The 19,234-nt window shown below is 37.3% G+C and overlaps 1 protein-coding gene across 1 annotated transcript in view; it reads left to right on the top strand.

Moving 5' to 3' along the window:
• The window catches only part of ATG2B (autophagy related 2B), an 84,147-nt gene that overhangs the window by 48,636 nt on the left and 16,277 nt on the right, over nucleotides 1-19,234 (top strand). The window contains exons 24-35 of the mRNA NM_018036.7: nucleotides 1,271-1,377; nucleotides 1,549-1,641; nucleotides 2,547-2,617; nucleotides 3,088-3,164; nucleotides 3,419-3,589; nucleotides 5,112-5,253; nucleotides 7,790-7,992; nucleotides 8,891-9,117; nucleotides 10,103-10,211; nucleotides 11,451-11,645; nucleotides 12,598-12,699; nucleotides 19,146-19,224. Coding sequence (NP_060506.6) covers nucleotides 1,271-1,377; nucleotides 1,549-1,641; nucleotides 2,547-2,617; nucleotides 3,088-3,164; nucleotides 3,419-3,589; nucleotides 5,112-5,253; nucleotides 7,790-7,992; nucleotides 8,891-9,117; nucleotides 10,103-10,211; nucleotides 11,451-11,645; nucleotides 12,598-12,699; nucleotides 19,146-19,224 — 1,576 coding nt within the window. The remainder of the gene's footprint in view (nucleotides 1-1,270; nucleotides 1,378-1,548; nucleotides 1,642-2,546; nucleotides 2,618-3,087; nucleotides 3,165-3,418; nucleotides 3,590-5,111; nucleotides 5,254-7,789; nucleotides 7,993-8,890; nucleotides 9,118-10,102; nucleotides 10,212-11,450; nucleotides 11,646-12,597; nucleotides 12,700-19,145; nucleotides 19,225-19,234) is intronic.

Genomic DNA, 19,234 nt, shown 5'->3' with positions numbered 1-19,234 from the left:
AAACAAAACAAAACAAAACAAAACAAAACAAAACAGTATTATCACCTCAGAATGTAATTGGTTTTTTACCTTAAAGTGTGGTCCTCAAAACCTCTCAATGACAGAGTTATCTTATATGTCATTAAAGGAAGGGAAGGGACTCTGTATCCCAGGACTTGTAGAATGTCTGGCGTAGAGGAGCAGTGAATGGTGTGTTGAATTGCTTTTATAATCAGAAGTTCTTTAAGTGCAATATTTCCATATAATTCCCTAGGCCAATAATATGATGTTGCTTTAAAGCATTTTATCAGGATTTCTCTCATTAATTTCCAGTTCAACAACTTTTTATGGTAATAAAATACAATTGGTTATTTTTCAGAGGAGACTTTGAGTAAGAAGTTAGCTTTTCCTTATGTGAGAATGAAAACTAGTGCACTATGATTGCTTCTCATGTTTCTTATAAAGGAGAACTTCTTAATTGTGCTGGGAAAATAATACATTATTTAAAAACTTGAGTGTTTTCAAAATTCTTTTCTCATGAAAGCATTTAGGAAACATGAGAATATCTGTCTGACTTTCTATCTGGTAGGAGTAGAGAAGTGGTTAGGGTGAATAACCAGCTGGAAGGGAGACATTTAGCAGAACCTCCTTATTTGTTTGGATTAGAAATATGAAAGAATAGATGTTGGTGAGAGGGACTGGTTTTTAGACTGAGCTAGGTATACATTAAGGAAAAAGAGCTTCCTTCAACAATGACTTATATGAAAAACCAATCGCCCCTGCACACAATGAGTTATATAAGAAGCCAGATTGATAGTTTTAAGCAGTCTTTAGCAAAATTTATTTTTTCTGAGAATTGTTCCAAGCCAAAAAATATGAAATTATATTATGCATACATTGTTATTAATTTCATAAGGTGTGATTTTCTAAGATTTCTGTAGCATTGGAGTTGTTGGATAGGCTTCTGCATTTCAAATTCTAATTTTGCAAATACTTTTAAAAAATTTATTTTTATTATATATAAGGTGAATAACATGTCTTGATATGCATAGTAAAATGCCTATTGTAGTCAAACGAACACATCCATCAGTATCCATTACCTTCTTTTCTGATGCAAGTACTTTTTGAAACTAATTCCTTCAAAATGATGATTTTTTTCCTTTTACCGTTATGATTTTCCAATTAAATGATTTTTTCTGTGAGATATTCTGGTTTACATTGGTATTAAGGATATTATATGAAACCTTTTTTTTCTTCTAAAGCAGGGCGTTTTAATTTTTTGTGATTATAGATTTTATACTTCTTGAATATTGCTGATGAACCTGTTTTGGGATATAATCCTCCAACTTCATTTACAACTTTTCATGTTCATCTTTGGAGCTGTGCACTTGATTATAGGTAAGTTCACAAATGGAACAAAATAAAGTTTTATTTAAAATGCTACTAAATTTTGAAAAAAATACATAATTCAGTAGAGTTAAGGTTCAAATTGTTGTTGTTGTTGTTGTTTTTAATAGAGTTTCTGGAGCCGTATCAAACTGATGTTCTTTTGTTTCTCTTTGGCATTAGACCCCTTTATTTGCCAATCCGATCTCTTCTTACCGTGGAAACATTCAGTGTTTCCAGTAGCGTTGCATTGGATAAATCTTCCTCTACTCTCAGGTACCTGTGTAAACTTCATTGTATACTAAACAAAGCTGTTCGAAACATACCAATTGATATTTACCTAAACCATTTTATTAAAGTCTCAATTTTTTGTTAAACGTTCTTTTACTAATAGTTATAACCTTTTACCCAAATTACCCAATTTTTCTCAGGTGACATGTTTCATCTACCCATTTATTATTGCATTTCATTTTTAGGGAAGAAATTAATTCTGGAGATTCTTTAAAAAGTTTGCATTTTAAAACATATGGTAAACTTCCCATGCTACCTGATACACTTTATACTTTTTATTTAATTTTTTTATTTTTTAGAGACAGGGTCTTGCTCTGTGTGGCCCAGGCTGGAATGCAGTGGCATGATCACAGCTTATTACAGCTTTCAACTCCTGAGCCCAAGTGATCTTTTGCCCTCACCCTACTGAGTAGCTAGGACTATAGACGTGTGCCTCTATCCCTGGCTGATTAAAAAAAAAGTTTTGTTTTTGTAGAGAAGGGGTCTTGCTGTGTTGCCCAGGCTAGTTGAGAACTCCTGGCCTCAGGTGGTCCTCCTGCCTTGTCCTCCCAAACGGCTGGGATTACAGGTGTGAGCCACTACATCTGGCCCACTCTATCTTTATACTATAGTTTAAACCTTGTGAATTTGGGCATCTCTTTAAAAACTGCCAAAAATTTAGAATTAATTTGAGTAGATGATTTAATCTAATTCTTTACACCATTTAAATATTCCTAGCATTCATAAACAGTTTTTAAAAAATGTTAGATGACAGTTATAAGTTAGAAACTGCTTATGATTTCAACAATGTTCATACCAGAAAGAATGATGCAATTAAGCATATAGTGATTATGGGGTATGATACTCAAAGCTTAGTTTTTCAGATGTTGGTTTTATCTTTCTTGCCTCAGAATAATCTTGGATGAAGCTGCTTTACATCTATCTGACAAATGCAATACTGTCACTATAAATCTGAGTAGAGGTAAGAGTTAAAAAACAAATGGAGTAGATAAATTCTGCTTTATTTTTGTGCGTAAATAATTTTAAAGCATTTTAACTCTGGGATAATGCTAGTGAACTAAGAATCTTATTAAAGATCCTTAAAGATTAAAGGGTCTTTAAGTATATAGTGATCATGTGGTATATATTCACAGCTTCATTTTTCAGATACTGGTTTTTCAGTTTGAAATTGTAATGTTCTTATAATGCTAGTTAAGTACATCAAATTACTATATATACTACAAATTTTTATTTAAGATAATTTTTGTTTCTAACAAAAAATAAAGTGAATTTTAGGACTTCTATGGGATGAAACTATTTTCATTGCATTATAATTATTTGTAGTGCTCTCTGCAATGAATTTTAAAGGAATGCTAGTTGTATTGGGTGTTGGTTGGATACACATTTTTGAAAGCTGTACTGAAGAGATTTTCTTAATTTTAAAAATTTTAGATTATGTTCGTGTGATGGATATGGGGCTTTTGGAGTTAACCATAACTGCAGTGAAGTCTGATTCTGATGGAGAGCAAGTGAGTTATTAAAATAAATGAAAATTTTAAGTTCTATTTTTTAAGAGATTAAAAAAATTGAGTTTAACATTTTTCCGTGTACCTAATTTTGGTCAGAAATAGAGTAAGTATATTAAAAATGGATTTATTTAAATACTTTTTTTATGTAGCGAGACAGATTATCATGAATCTTATTTAATGTAAATCTATGCAAAAAAAGAAACTTTTGTCTCATTTGGAAAACATTTTCATCCCTTTTTCTGTGTCTTGTCCAGACTGAGCCCCGCTTTGAGTTACACTGTTCCAGCGATGTTGTCCATATCAGAACGTGCTCAGACTCTTGTGCTGCGTTAATGAATCTCATTCAGTACATTGCAAGCTATGGTGACTTGCAGACACCTAACAAGGCAGATATGAAGCCTGGAGCCTTTCAAAGAAGGTCTAAGGTACAGTCAGCAATGTGATTCCTCCAGTCCCTGCCATGTCGTGACATGTTTACATTATTGAGGTCTTCATGACAGTCATAAGGTAGAAAAGAAACTTTGAAAGTCATTCATCTGTTCTTTACCTTCAGAATAATGGGGTCTGAAACGGTGGTTTCATGGGCCTTTTTGGAAAACCATTCTGCTGTTTTGATATTCTTTGTTTCCATTAATCTTCCTAGCAAACATCATACTTTTTTTTTTCTAGACTTGTTATTTTCATCTGTCCTAAGGGAAGAAAGAAAACATTTATCATGCAAAAGCTTGTTCTATGCAAGTTGTATGTAAAAATGCTATGAAAAGATAGATGGCAGGTGTTAGTATTGTTACCAGAAGACTTACTTATATCATCATATTTTCCCTATTTTTTTATCTCTAAGACAATCCAGTTTTCAGTGTACTTTGTCATATATGACTTCCTTTTCCTTTCATGATGACCTGGTGAGATAGAGAGGTTAAAAATTAATAAGACCCAGAGAATTTAGATGATTGCTCTAAAGAGTAGCAGAAACAGCAACAAACCCAGATATTTTGGTGTCCAGTTCAATGCACTTTTCTGCCCCAAGTGTCACCTTTCTAACTTCTCTTATGTCCAAATTGAAGAATGTCCAGTTTGTTTAGCATTTTTTCTTTTTCATTGTTATTCTTTGTGGTCTCTCTTATGAACAGAAATCTCAGTCCCCTTAGGTTCTAGAGCCTCTGTTATGTACTCTAGTAAAGGCCTGACTGGCATCGTGTTTGTTGTCTTTTGTTCAGGATTATTTTACACTTTATTTGTGTTAATTTCTGTTTGTGACTCCTTGTTCCTGCTGTATTCTCACGATAAGGTGATTTATGACACCCCGCCTACTATTTATTCCCTTTTAAAAAACATTCTTCTTATTTTAAATTATCCCTTTCAGCTTGGAACTTGCTATTTTAGAGTCATGCTCACATATAAAAAGCACGATCTGGGTTTAATGAATCTACAGTTCACCAACCATTGGTGAAGTATTTGGTTAAGTATTTGGTGCTGGAACTGAGCTCTGAATCACCGTTTAGTATATTTCCCCTGCTGTGTGTGCCCCCTACTGTTGTTAGGTGTCCAAGAAATGAGGCCTCGTCCTACAGGGGCTTTATGTCAAAGGGATGAAAGTCATTGCAACCATCAGAGTTGAGGAGATCAAACTTATTTAGTTATCCCTTCTTTCCCAGCTTTATTGCAGTTTGTTCAACTTCCCTGTTTTCAAATGCATTGCCTCTTCAAGATCCCAGTTCACTGTGCTTGCTTTGAGGTGGTGACACATTTATTGCTCTTTGCCAGTATTTGTTAGGGTGATAATACTAAAAACTTGAAATATAACAGCTGCTGGGCATAGAAAAATGAGTAGGTTTCTATTTCTGATGTTTTTGTACAATGTAATGTATTTTTGGGATAAAATAAATGTAAGTAGTTTGGTTTTTAAGAGCATTTTCAGTTATTTTTAATTAGGTTTTTTGGCTATAGGTAGATTCCAGTGGTCGATCATCCTCACGTGGTCCAGTACTTCCTGAAGCAGATCAACAAATGTTACGAGATCTGATGAGTGATGCTATGGAGGAGATCGACATGCAACAAGGCACCTCGTCAGTAAAACCACAGGCTAATGGTAAGACCAGGACTCTTCTCAGGGAGCACTGATGTTAATGTTGGGGCTTACTTTATTTGTGTTCTCGTAAATTTAATAAGTCACTTATTAAAGACGCATATGAGTTTTTATGGATATCTGTTAATCATTCAGCTTGTGTCTACTCAGTGTCTAGTAAATAGGTAACTCTGGCCAGGCTGGTGTCGGGAATGCAGAGTGAGTAGAAGACAGTGCTTATGTTTTCTGGTAGCTTGTAGCCTAGTAAAACAAATGGGCACAAAACTGGTGCCAGTACTTAGACTGATTGATAAATGATGTAAGAAAATACTTCAACTGTGGTATATCCTCTACTGTTTGGAAAGGATTGGGATAATTTTATTAGACTTTAGTAAAGTAAGATGGCTTGGCTTTTTAAAAGTGGTTGGGATTTAGGTATGTAAAGAGGGAGGAGAAGGTAATCTTGGCAAGGTCATTAACATCAACAGAGCACAGACAAAGGCATGCATGAGCCTCAGTTATTTAGCCATGACATTCGGGTTCTTACTGAAACAAAAGTTCTCTTATTGAAAAGAATTAGATAATAAAGTTGGGTAAGCAAAGAGGGACCCAGGTGATTCAAGATCCTTGAAAGCCAAAGGGAAGCAGGTAAACATTTTAAAGCCTCTATTTCAACAGTATTTTCTTCTAATTGAATGGTCATAGCTATATCTATATATTGGGAAATCTTAATTAAAAATTATTTCATGGAGTTGTAAAAGTCTAGTGTTAACTGTTGCTGTCTTGCTAATTTAGGATAAATTAGAACTAAGGAAGCAAACTGGGGCTTTTAGTGTTCTATGTACTACATTATTTGTAATAAATGTTAGCAGCTAGGCTGGGCACAGTGGCTCATGCCTGTAATCTAGCACTTTGGGAAGCTGAGGCAGGTGGATCACTTGAACTCAGGAGTTTGAGACCAGCCTCGGCAACATGGTGAAACCCCATCTCTCCAATTAAAAAAAAAAAAAAAAAAAGCTAGATGTGGGATGTGTTGGCAGGCGCCTATAGTCCCAGATACTTGGGAGGCTTAGGTGGGGTGGGAGGATCACCTGAGCCCAGGAGACGGAGGTTGCAGTGAGCCAAGATTGTGCCACTGCACTCCAGCCCGGGTAATAGAGCGAGATTCTGTCTCAAAAAAAAAAAAAAAAAAAATATATATATATATATATATATATATGTGTGTATATATATATATATATATATGTATATATATATTTATGTATTTATATATATATGTATATATATATTTATGTATTTATATATATTTATATATGTGTGTGTGTGTATATGTATATATGCAGCTACCTTAATTACATGGGAAAGAATATTTAGTGATTATTTACTGGGTGGCTTCAATATACAAGATTCTGTACTAGGCCCTGGGTACCTGTAAGGATGAGTAATTCTGAGGTACTGCTGTAGAAGAATCTAAAATCTAATCTGTGAGTCTCTTAAAGCCAGTATGTCTCTTGATTCAGCTTAGTGTTCTCAGCCTCATCACAGTGTTTGGTTTTAATGAATGAATGGGAAAAGAATGAGTGACTCTTAATATGTAATGTAAACATATTAAAATATATGTTGACATGCAGATTTTGGTGCACATGTAATCTTTTGCGATAGCTACCTAAGATTAGGTATCCAGTTTGGGTATCCCAGGCCCCAGGAAGAGGTCTTCTTTTCATACTTGAATCACTGCCTCCTCTGCCACCTAATGCTTGCTCAACAGCTATTCTTCCCTCCCCTTCCCCTTCCCTCCCCCTACATTTAGGCTCTGCTAAATGTAACCAGTTTCCCCTCACATTGTAATATTGTCCAAGAAGTTTCTTCCAGAGCTCCGCCTATAGGACAGAATTGTCAAAGGTGAAATTCTGGGTAAAGCAAAACTCCACTCAACACTAACCAGCAACTGCTGAGCTTCCCCAACGCCAACTAACTGGGAGGAAACTGTCTTTGTGACATTGCCATTTCGAATTTATCATTTGTCTTTTTATTAGTTGTTGTTTTTTGTTTGTTTGTTTGTTTTTTTGACAGGTTCTTGGTCTGTCACGCAGGCTGGAGTGCAGTGGTGTGATGTCAGCTCACTGCAACCTCCACCTCCCGGCTTCAAACAATTCTCCTACCTCGGCCTCCCAGGTAGCTGGGACTCAGGTGTGTGCCACCATGCCCAGCTGATTTTTGTATTTTTAGTAGAGACAGGGTTTCATCATGTTGGCCAGGCTGGTCTGTAACTCCTGACCTCAGGTGATCCACCCATCTCGGCCTTCTAAAGTGCTGGGATTACAGGCATGAGCCACCATGCCTGGCCTATTAGTGGTTTTTGATGTATTTCTGACTCTTGCTGAGGTGTTTTGGTGCATGTTACTTAGCTCTCTTTAAGCCTCAGATTCATAGACTTATTTTAGGAAATAAATGAGATATTGCAGGTAAAAGCACACAACATATATCTGACACATGGTTAAAATGCTTGTTGTTGTTGATATTTCAAAGTGTGCCAAAATGTTGTAATCTTTTTATCTAGGTGTTTTGGATGAAAAATCTCAAATTCAGGAGCCATGTTGTTCAGACCTCTTCCTGTTTCCTGACGAGAGTGGGAATGTATCCCAGGAGTCCGGCCCCACCTATGCCTCATTCTCTCACCATTTCATCAGTGATGCAATGACAGGTGTGCCCACTGAGAATGATGACTTTTGCATTCTTTTTGCACCAAAAGCAGCCATGCAGGTAATAAATTAATAACATTATTGAAGCCTTGAATGGTGTTACAAATGAATTGACCAAAGGGTACCTGGAGAAAATTCTGTTGATTTTGTAAATTCTTTATAGTTCAGAGTTACTTTTTTTTTTTTAATATACTATTGACAGTTGGTGAATGGTTACTGTACTATTTCTGTGACACATCTAAAGACTCAGAGAAGAATGCTATTTGCAAAATTTCCAACATAGATTATTGAACTCCAGATTTTTTATATAGTAAGATGACTATTCAAGGATCGTGAAATTAAATGGCAGAAGGATCTGCTGGACAGAATTGCTAGTCCAAGAATCGGGAAAGATAAGATGTGGTTTGTGTGAAGGCTGATGGTTGGGGTGTGTTTGTGTGTATGTATAGATATAAGTGTGTGTGTGTATGTGTATTTGGAAACTTTCCAGGAATTGTCCAGTAGGTGACCGTATTTGTTTACAAAGTTCTGAGAACCTTCTGGTTAAATTTTTAAAAATCCAAACAATCAAACTCAGGATAAACCTATTATTAAAAACATGGTAATATCATCCATATGTTGAAATTTGTTAACTTTTGGTTTGCAGTATTGACTTTAAACAAAAAAAAATACCCACACACTAAATTTGTGCTTTTTTATTATCAAACAAGTAGTGAAAGCCGAATTGTAAACCATAAAAAATCCTTATGGAGTGGTTTACGTAGAACAAAGAGAGTTTATTTTATGGTTAATAAAGCAGAATATCTTTGTGGTGACTAATGTCGGTAACCATCACCTTATTTTATATACTGGAATTATTAAAAAGAATGTAGAAGCAAGAATGCCCCTTGAGATGTGCAGCATAATCAGTTGTTTCTAATTAGAAAAGAGAGTATGTGTTACCTGTTTGTTTATTTTAGGAGAAGGAAGAAGAACCAGTTATAAAAATCATGGTTGATGATGCAATTGTGATAAGAGACAATTATTTCAGTCTGCCCGTTAATAAGACCGATACGAGCAAAGCCCCCTTACACTTTCCCATTCCTGTGATTCGCTATGTGGTGAAGGAGGTCTCTCTTGTCTGGCATCTTTATGGAGGAAAGGATTTTGGAATAGTCCCTCCCACTTCTCCGGCTAAAAGTTATATGTAAGTTAATTTCTATATAAGTTTATTTGGGAGGCCAATATATTCTTTTCTTAGAAAAATAGAATTTTCCATTTCCCCTTTAGAGAGAAAAAAGAAAAATAGGATTTATCATTTTAAGAATTATTAATAAAGTAGTATTAAAAACTGTAATTTAAATGTTACTCTCACAGTTTTCCAATTGTGAACTTATTTGTATTATTTGTATTTTTACTAAAATGTTGACTCTCATCATTTTCATTCAGCAGAAATTTTCAGGTATCTACCATGTACCTATTTCACAAAAATGAGTAGGTCCTGTGAGTCATGTGAGTGACAGAGGGCAGTGAAACGCAGGAAGTGTGTCAGGAGGTGGGGTCGGGCATGCCCTGTCCCCAGCATTCAGCAGGGCACTGAGCAGAGAGCCTGTGGTCATTGAGCGCCTGTGAGACGAGTGCAGTGTGCCGGTCGCTGGGAGAATCAGGTGGACAGAATCCCTGTAGGGGGCAGACTTCCTTATTGAGGTGGGGCATGGCATGGAGGCTGCGTGGAGCAGTAACATTTGACACTATAGTTCAGCAGCTTTTTCTACTTAAAAGCGACTTTAAAACACGTCCAACTTTACTATAATTATTTTGTGTATTAGTTGGGATTCCTAGGACTTGTGTTCTGACTATAAAGGGTTTCCAAAGTAACAAGAAGCTTATAAGGAGGTCTCATTTCTAAGTGTATCCTGTGATACGGATCCCAGCATCATAATTAGCTTTTCCTGTAGTTTTGAGTATTTAGCAAGCAGGTGATTACTCTAATGGCAATAATGAAACGCGTGTTTCAGTGTCTACAGAGTAAAGAAGATACGGTTTTGGTTTCTAGTAATTTGTGGCAGCGTTCTGATAGCTCTGTACTCTTACTTTGTCTTTCATCTTATCATTTTCCTTAATGTCATTCATTGACTTTCTTTGAATATTCCTTTAACAAAAGGGTTTTTTTTTTTTTTGCTCATTTTTAGTAGTCCCCACAGTTCGCCTTCTCACACACCCACGAGACATGGACGTAATACAGTATGTGGGGGAAAAGGAAGGAACCATGACTTTTTAATGGAAATACAGCTAAGCAAGGTAAGATGGCATTTGAAGGAAAAATCCACTTAAGTAGGATATTGGCGGGGGGTTCTTTTGTTATCCCCCACCACGTAGTCTTGAGCCTTAAGTCCCAACCCTTTGGATTGGAAAAGTGCAAGGATCTTGTATAAAACTCTTACCTCTTTTTCATTCTCAAATGTTCTAAGAAGACTGAGGTGTTTTTCTTTTATTTTTGTTTGTCTGGGCTACCGCTAGAGCGGTGGTTCTCACAGTTGAGCAAGCCCAGAATCCCCTGGAGGGCTTATTAAAACACAGGTTTCTGGGCTCCACCCCAGAGTTTCTGATTCAGGAAGTCTGAGGTAGGGTCAGACTGAGGAGATGCTGCCCTAGAGCATCTGTCTGGGAAAGCCTGTGTTTGGACAGTGCATCTGGCAGGTCCTTTGTGAGACTAGAGACCAGTAGGGCCAGACTACTGATGGCATCACACGCATTTAATTCTACCAGCTTGTCTGAGATTGTACCAAGTGTCATATTTTAGGATAGTTAGCATGGCAATATTGTAGTGATGACAATTCCCTGTATTTAATCATATCTGTGCCTCCTTTTGGAACTTGAACCCTGCCTCTGCTGATTCATTTTAAAGCAATTTCATAGGTATGCAAGATAATAATTTTATGTCTTATTCCTATTGAGAATTTTCCTTGGAAATAAGGGATTTTACCAAGGTCAAATAGAAATATTAGTCAAGCTTCTCTGTGTATGGTAGGGTCCACATAGTCCCCCTTATCCACAGACATACATGGTAATAGCCTCAGTGGATGCCTGAAACTGCAAATAGTACTGAACTTTATGTATACTGTGTTTTTCCTATACATACATACCTATGATAAAGTTTAATTTCTAAGTTAGGCATAGTAAGAGATTAACAATAATGAATAATAAAATAGAATAATTATAACACTATACTAAAATAAAAGTTATATGGAAGGTATTTCTCTTGGTTTCAAAATACTGAAATATTTTTGGACCTCAGTTGACCATGGGTAACTGAAACTGTGGAAAGCAAAACCTTGGACAAGCAGGGAGCACTGTAGATTAATAAATGAGTGAACAAGTGAAGGAATGTCATGTTGTTGAGTTTTTTGAAGGTGGAATTGTAAGCTGAGGTAGAATTCAGAGGAAAAATGAGTGATATTTTGCATTTTAAAGAGAAAATACAATTTAATAAAAGGAATGTAAAGAACTGTTCCGCGTTCTTCCTCCTTACCCGTTAAGGTGAAGTTTCAGCATGAAGTCTACCCGCCATGCAAACCTGATTGTGATTCCAGCCTCTCAGAACACCCAGTCTCCCGGCAGGTGTTCATTGTTCAGGATCTTGAGATTCGAGATCGTTTGGCAACATCACAAATGAATAAATTTTTATACCTGTATTGCAGTAAAGAAATGCCTCGAAAAGCTCACTCCAACATGGTAAGAGTTAACCTCATCGTTGTGTTATGTTAGTTTTGGAAACGTGTTTTTATTATATCTAACTTCAGGAGAGTTAAAGTAGGGAAAATTACTAGATATCTTTTCTCATTTTAATGTGAAAAGTCCCTTTTGAATGTATTGCTTAAAGTTTTATGTTTAAAAAATTATTTTGCATGTCACTTCTAGGGTCCATTAACTCTAATTGCTAATAAATTGATATCTGAGGAAAAGTAGAAGTCCCTAGTGATCAGTACAAAATAGGTAGTATTGCTGAAGGTGTTCCAGATTTCTAACACTCTTTACATTTTAGTAAGGTAGAAATGATTCTTTCAGGACTTTGGAGGTCCCTCACAGAATTTGATTTTGGCATATGGACCTATGGTTAGCTTCAGGGTTTCAGTAAACTGTTACTAAGTACAACATTATCCATTTGCAATTTTTCCTCTAAAGAGAGTCTACATCTTTAAGCAGTTTTTTTTTTCCCCCCAACAGTGTCTCACTCTGTGACCCAGGCTGGAGTGCAGATTGTAGTTCACTGCAGCCGTGACCTCCTGCGCTCAAACTAGCCTCCCATTCAACCTCCTGAGTAGCTGGGACTACTGGCAGTGCACCACCGTGCCTGGCTAATTTTTTGTTTTTTGTGGAGTTGGGGTTTTCCTATATTGCACAGGCTGGTCTGGAACTCCTGAACTCAAGTAATCCTCCCACCTTAGCCTCCCAAAGTGTTGAGATTACTGGCATGAGCCACCGTGCCCAGCCTTTAATCAGATTATTGATGGGGGCATGTGACCCAAAAATGTTTGATTCAGACTTTTAAGGAAAGAGGGTAAACAATTCCTCTTTTTCTCATATGGTATAGGAATAGGAATTTTTCTTTTTTTTTCTTATTTTTAAAGAGAAGAAGGTCATCATATTATTGGGGAAAAATGTTATTCTCTTTCTTGCCTTGTAGTTGACAGTGAAAGCCTTACACGTGTGTCCAGAATCTGGCAGGTCCCCACAGGAGTGCTGCTTGAGAGTGTCGCTGATGCCGCTCCGCCTCAATATTGACCAGGTTTGTAGCATGAGCGTGATTCCTGCCGTTACAGTTAGATTAGACTGCATGTTCAGAATAAAGAAATTGTAATGTTTATCATTATTGAACTTTTATGGCGGTTACATATATAAAGCAAACTTCTGATAAAGAATAGGGCAAATTCATTAGATGTTTGGAATCTGAACTATGGCTGAGTCAACATCATTAGATGTTATTCCCCAGTCTCCTACTCATGGTGTGATGTAGACCTTAATACCTGCTTCTTGTTCTCTAATCCTCAAGTACTCTACTCCCAGTTCAGATATGCATACATTTTCAGAGAGTATTAGAGGATTCCCTGATGAATTGAATGCTGCTCTGTCTTCATTGCAGCATCTGGAAGAGAATTCTTTCTGTGCTGGGCAAAATGACAAATGAGTAAATTGGTATACATAAAGAGGTCAGAAACAACAGAGATTTAGACTTTCCCTAAAAAAAACTGGAGTTGGGCACAGTGAAATCCACTTTCCCGTATTCTAGCAGGCATCCCATCAAATTCTTCTGGGCTTTGCTTTGACCCAGCGATCTGTTTAAAACATAGCTGGTGCCTCTTCCAGAAACTTTTTACCAAGATGTATGAAAATAGGATGCGCAGCCAAGGTATAGTAATAGAATGGCGAGAAGCATGGGTTTGGAGTCAGACCTGGGTTCCAGTCTTAGTTCTGTAGCTTTTACTAGTTGTATGGCTTCGGGTAAGTTACTGAACATCTCCAAGCCTTAGTTCCTTCACTGATAAAATGGGAGAAATAGTAATATGTGTATCATAATGCTTTTTAAAATGAAGATTAAATAAATCAGTGTGTGAAAAACATTAACTGGGTGCCTGACACACTAGGTTAGGGATCAGTAATGTTAACTGTTGTTATTTAATAATAACATAACATATGATAATTGCAGAACATAAATGGAGTTTTTAACTAATCTGCTGTGAAATAACAAAACCTTCTTGACAGAAATTGTGTTGATATGAGCTCAGGTTTGGAAGTAGAGTATTTATTTGTGGGGTGGACGTTATTAATTTGCTTAAATAGTACTGGTTGAATAATGTTCATTAGTTGTTTAAATAAAACTTGAATAACTAAAAGCTGGTAACAAATATTTCAAGACTGAGCTTAAATAATATTTATAAACAAAAAATAGGCGCTGTCTTAGAGAAAATGTACTGTGAAGTACAGAAGCTTAGCATAGCTCTACATTAATGCTTATAGCCTCTGACCTAGGTTAGACTTGCCAATCAGTACTTTAAGTTTATGTTTTATCATTATGAAAAGAAGATATTTTGATATCCATACTTTAACTAAATTTATCCATATATTGATTGGCCTAGTGGAAATACAATGAAATATTTGTGGGAAAATTGATCTGTGGCGATCACCAGTGTGAACAAGACTTTGAGTAAGATACATCTTTCTGGCATGACTTTACGAAACTTAGCAAGCCCAATTTTCTTTCTTTTTTTCTTCCCCCGCCACAGTGTCTCACTCTGTCACCCAGGCTGGAGTGTAGATCATGGCTCACTGCAGCCTTGACCTCCTGGGCTCAAACTATCCTCCCGCCTCAGACTCCTGAACAGCTGGGATTATAGGCGCATACCACCATGTCCAGCTAATTTTCTATTTTTATTTTTTTGTAGAGACGTGGTCCCATTATGTTGCCCAGACTGGTCTTGAACTCCTGGGCTCAAGTAATCCTCCCACCTTGGCCTCCCAAAGTGCTGGGATGATAGGCATAAGCCACTGTGCCCACCCTAATTTTCTTTAATAGACTTTTAAATTTAATATTGAACACAATTTCTTATTTAGAACTATAAAGCATTATGATTTTAAAGTGGAGAGTTATTAATCTTAGAACCATCAGGGAAATAAATTTTATGACTACCTTGAGGAAGAATGAGAAATAATTCATTAAGACATAAAAGCTAGGAAAACAAAGCCACACCACAAATATGTAAGCGTTAATGAGGTATATCACCTGACACAAAAATTCTTTTCAGTTCGCCTCTTTTAAGATTGCTATACCATATTTTGGGATAGTAAATGGTCGTCTGAGTAGAAAATCAAATATTTTTGTTTATTTTTTCTTGTGAAAACAAATCAGTTGGTGAATGATAATGCTTTGAGTATTATTTTTCTAACCGAGCACATCCCCACTTATTCTTCTTAATTGAATCATGTTAAGTATGAAAGCAACACATTATTCTTTCATGTTTTTGAAAAAGCTGCATTGCCATTGAAGGTAAGTGCAACTGCTTCCAAAGCTCAGTGTTCCCTTAGGGCAGGCAGTAAGCATTGCAGATGGAATGAGTTCCATCTGGTGGATAAGTGGATGATGGAGGTCATACAGCTAGGCAGTTTGAGATTCAAAATAGGAAGGGGGCCGGATTTCCTGACTCTGCTAGCCTATTATCCATTTTAGTTTTGTACTGCCTGGAACTCTGCCGGGAAAGCGTATCAATTCATTCAAGACCATTTGGTGAATGCCTGCCTTGTCCCAAGTTTTATATTAGGATGCTGGGGATACAAAGATGAATAAGACATCTCTATCTTCAAGGATCTCTTTATAGAAGACTGACATAAAAGAGATAGTTTTAATGTGCTGTGGTGAGTACAAGTGATACAGATAGGCATGGGATGGTATGCCTGACCAGAAGATGGCTCTTAACCTAGACTGGGAGTTTGGAAGGGTGAGGGATGCTCAGGAAAGGCTTTCTGGAGGTGGTGACATTCAAGGTGGGCCTTAAGGAGTGCAGTGGAGCTAGGCAGGTGAAGATTTTTGTAAAGATACCAAAAGCCTTACTCTGATTGTGGACTGGGACTGGGAGACCATTCTGCTAAGGAAGATAAGTAAGTGCTCAACCAGGCTCTATAGGATGAACATGGAGCAGCACCAGTTTGCACAATTGTGTTTTTCATCATTATTGCTTCATTGCTTGAGTATGACATTAAAAGGAATTCTTTTAACACTGTAAGTCATAGTGCAGTATTAATATCCTTTATCATAGGATCTTCAAACTAGACATTTTACAGTCAAAGTTTAGCATAAACAATTTTTTAAAGTTTAAAAACATTGATTGCACTGAGGTATAATTTACATACACTAAAATGCACAGCTTTTAAGTGTTCAATGGAGGTTTCACAGATTTACACACTTGAGTAGCTACTACCCCAGTTGAGATATAGAACATTTTCCTTACCGTGAAGACGTCACTCATGTCCCTTTGTAGTTCATCTTCACCATCCCAAAGTGACTACTGACTGATCTTTTGGTCACCATAGATTAGTTTTTTCCTGTTCTGCAACTTCATGTAAATGGAATTGTACTTGGCTTCCTGTACTTAGCGTTAAGTCTTTGAGATCCATCTATGTTGTAGCATGTATCCACAGTGATGTTTATTGCTGAGTAGGATTTTGCTGTGGATATACCACGGTTTATCTGTTTACCTGCTGGTTCACACTGAGGTTGTTCCATGGTTTTGGCTCTTAGGAATAAAGCTGTTAGGAAATTTATGTAGAAGTCTTTTTATGGGCATACGTTTTCACTTCTCTTGGTTGAATAAATACATATATAAGAGTAGAATTTCTGGGTCATAAGATAAGTATATGTTGAGCTCTCTTAAGAAGCTGCCAAACAATTCTTCACAGTGGCTGTTGCATTGCATATTCCCACCAATAGCCATGAGAGCTGCAGCTGCTTCATAGCCTTGCCAAACTTGGTATTGTCGTTCTTAAAATTTTAGCTGGGATGCTTTGTGTACACTGTGGTTTTAAATTGGATTTCCCTGGTAACAGGTGATGCTGAGCATCTTTTTATGTGCTTATTAGCCATTTGTGTATTTTCTTTTGTGTGTCTGAAGTGTCTGTGTCTTGCTAGTTTTAAAATTGGGTTGTTTGGGTCGGGTGCGGGTTACTCATGCCTGTAATCCTACCACTTTGGGAGGCCAAGGCAGGAGGATTGCTTGAGCCTAGAAGTTCAAGATCAGCCTGGGCAACATAGTGAGATCTTGTTTCTACAAAAAATAGAAAAAAAAATAGCCAGGCATGGTGGTGCCTGCCTATATTCCCAGCTATTCAGGAGGCTGAGGTGGGAGGATCGCTTGAACTCAGGAGGTGGAGGCTGCAGTGAGCCATGATCATGCTACTGTACTCCAGTCTGGGTGACAGAGCGAGACCCCCATCTGTAAAATAAAATAAAATAAAATTGAGTTGTTGGTCTTACTGATTTGTAAAGAGTTTAGCATAAATACCAAAATCAAAAAATTTTGAGAACATTTTAAAAAGCTAGTGATTAGTGGCCGGGTGCGGTGGCTCACGCCTGTAATCTCAGCACTTTGGGAGGCCGAGGCGGGTGGATCACGAGGTCAGGGGTTCGAGACTCAGCCTGACCAACATGATGAAACCCCGTCTCTACTAAAAATACAAAAATTAGCTGGGCTTGGTGGCGGGTGCCTGTAATCCCAGCTACTCAGGAGGCTGAGGCAGGAGAATTGCTTGAACCCGGGAGGCAGAGGTTGCAGTGAGCCGAGATCGTGCCACTGCACTCCAGCCTGGGCAACAGAGCGAGACTCTGTCTCAAAACAAAACAAAACAAAACAAAAAAAGCTGGTGATTAGCATCTCTTTATCTGTTGTTTTGTGCATTTGTGGTGAAAAATGAGTAGAAACCATTGTATCTTTAGTCTCCCTTTTTTTTTTTTAAAGAGGAAATTGATACCTGAAAATTTGCTGTTTTTTTGAAGGTAATCATGGAGTCCCACCATTTATGGCATTAAAATATCACCATCTAGTGGCCAAAGAATAGCATTTTATATGCTGTTAAACTGTAAACATGTAATATTTGGTATAATATGAATTATATATATTAAATGTGTATGATGGAAATAATACATAAAATACATACATGAATATATATGTAAAGCATAACAATATAATGAACAATTCATGAACCCACTACCCCGCTTCAGAATCAGAATATTTCCACTACTGACGAAACCACCTGCTTGTGCTGCAGTCCATTGCTTAGTCTCCCATATGCATGTTACCTAGGATATCCTTCTCATTTGCATCATTTGTACTTCTGAGATATGTGATCAGTAGACAGAGCTTTTGGAATTGTCAAACTGTTTTGGCGTGCCACTAAATATTTTGACCCTTCACATTGCATTTTGGCACAGTATTAATGTTTTATATTAGTTTAGGTTTTTTGTTGTTGGGTTTTTTTTTTTTTTTTGAGACAGTGTCTCGCACTGTCGCCTGGGCTGGAGTGCAATGGCGTGATCTCTGCTCACTGCAGCCTCCGCCTCCCAGGTTCAAGTGATTCTCCTGCCTCAGCCTCCTGAGTAGCTGGGATTATAGGCACCTGCCACCACGCCTGGCTAATTTTTTGTGTTTTTAGTAGAGACGGGATTTCACTGTGTTGGCCAGGCTGGTCTTGAACTCCTGACCTCATGATCTGCCCGCCTCAGCCTCCCAAAGTGTTGGGATTACAGATGTGAGCCACTGCACCCGGCCAGTTTAGGATTATGAAAGGAAAGAATAAGATCAGGCTCAGGCATATATACAAATATATCCTCGAAGATATATTTGTCAGTTTGAGTGAGATAGGCAAAACGAAGCTGCCTATAATGGGCAAATATGGCATGTACGTACAAAGTGAAGACAGAGCCATGCAGTTTTTGTTTGTAATTATGTAATTTCAGGAGAGACCATACTGAATGGATTATTTTCATTATTTTGAATATCATGTTCAATGATGAAATGTATTAAGGCAATATAATGTATGAAAAGCAGAAGTTAAGTCATTTGGAACTTTGAAGACACTTAAAAGTGTCCACATGGTGAAACCCGGTCTCTACTGAAAATACCAAAAATTAGCTGGGCATGGTGGCGGGCGCCTGTAGTCCCAGCCACTTGGGAGGCTGAGGCAGGAGAATGGCGTGAACCCAGGAGGCAGAGCTTGCAGTGAGCCGAGATTGTGCCACTGCACTCCAGCCTGGCGACAGAGCGAGACTCCGTCTCAAAAAAAAAAGTGTCCAGCACATGATTGTTGGTAATATCACCACAATGCAGAATGAGAGCCAGGGCCAAGAGTGAGAGTGCTCCATTTCTAAGAAAACTCAAATGTACTTTGATTTAGTCCTTTTTACTTTTGTAATCTTTAACTTCTGTCTCTCAGTTTTCATACCTATAAATTAATTTCCTCATAAAGTTATGAGAATTAAAAGGGAAGTGTGTATCTGTGTGTGTGTGTGTGTGTGTGTGTGGTGGGGGGAAGAATAGGAATAATGACTAGCATGGAGAAAGAATTCAATAAATTGTAGCTATATTTGAACAATGAGTAAAATATATGAGTTTAAGATACTTTGTTTCATAGTTTTAGAAATAGGTGATTCTTTTCTTCCTTAGTTAAAATTACATCTCTTAATTTTAGGATGCTTTGTTCTTCCTGAAGGATTTCTTCACAAGTCTTTCTGCAGAAGTAGAGCTTCAAATGACTCCAGATCCAGAAGGTATTAAATA

This window comes from Homo sapiens, chromosome 14 (assembly GCF_000001405.40).
Source record: "Homo sapiens chromosome 14, GRCh38.p14 Primary Assembly".
Taxonomy (NCBI): Eukaryota; Metazoa; Chordata; class Mammalia; order Primates; family Hominidae; genus Homo; species Homo sapiens.
Note: the sequence above shows the minus strand (reverse complement) of the source record. Positions and strands in the feature narration are given on the sequence as shown.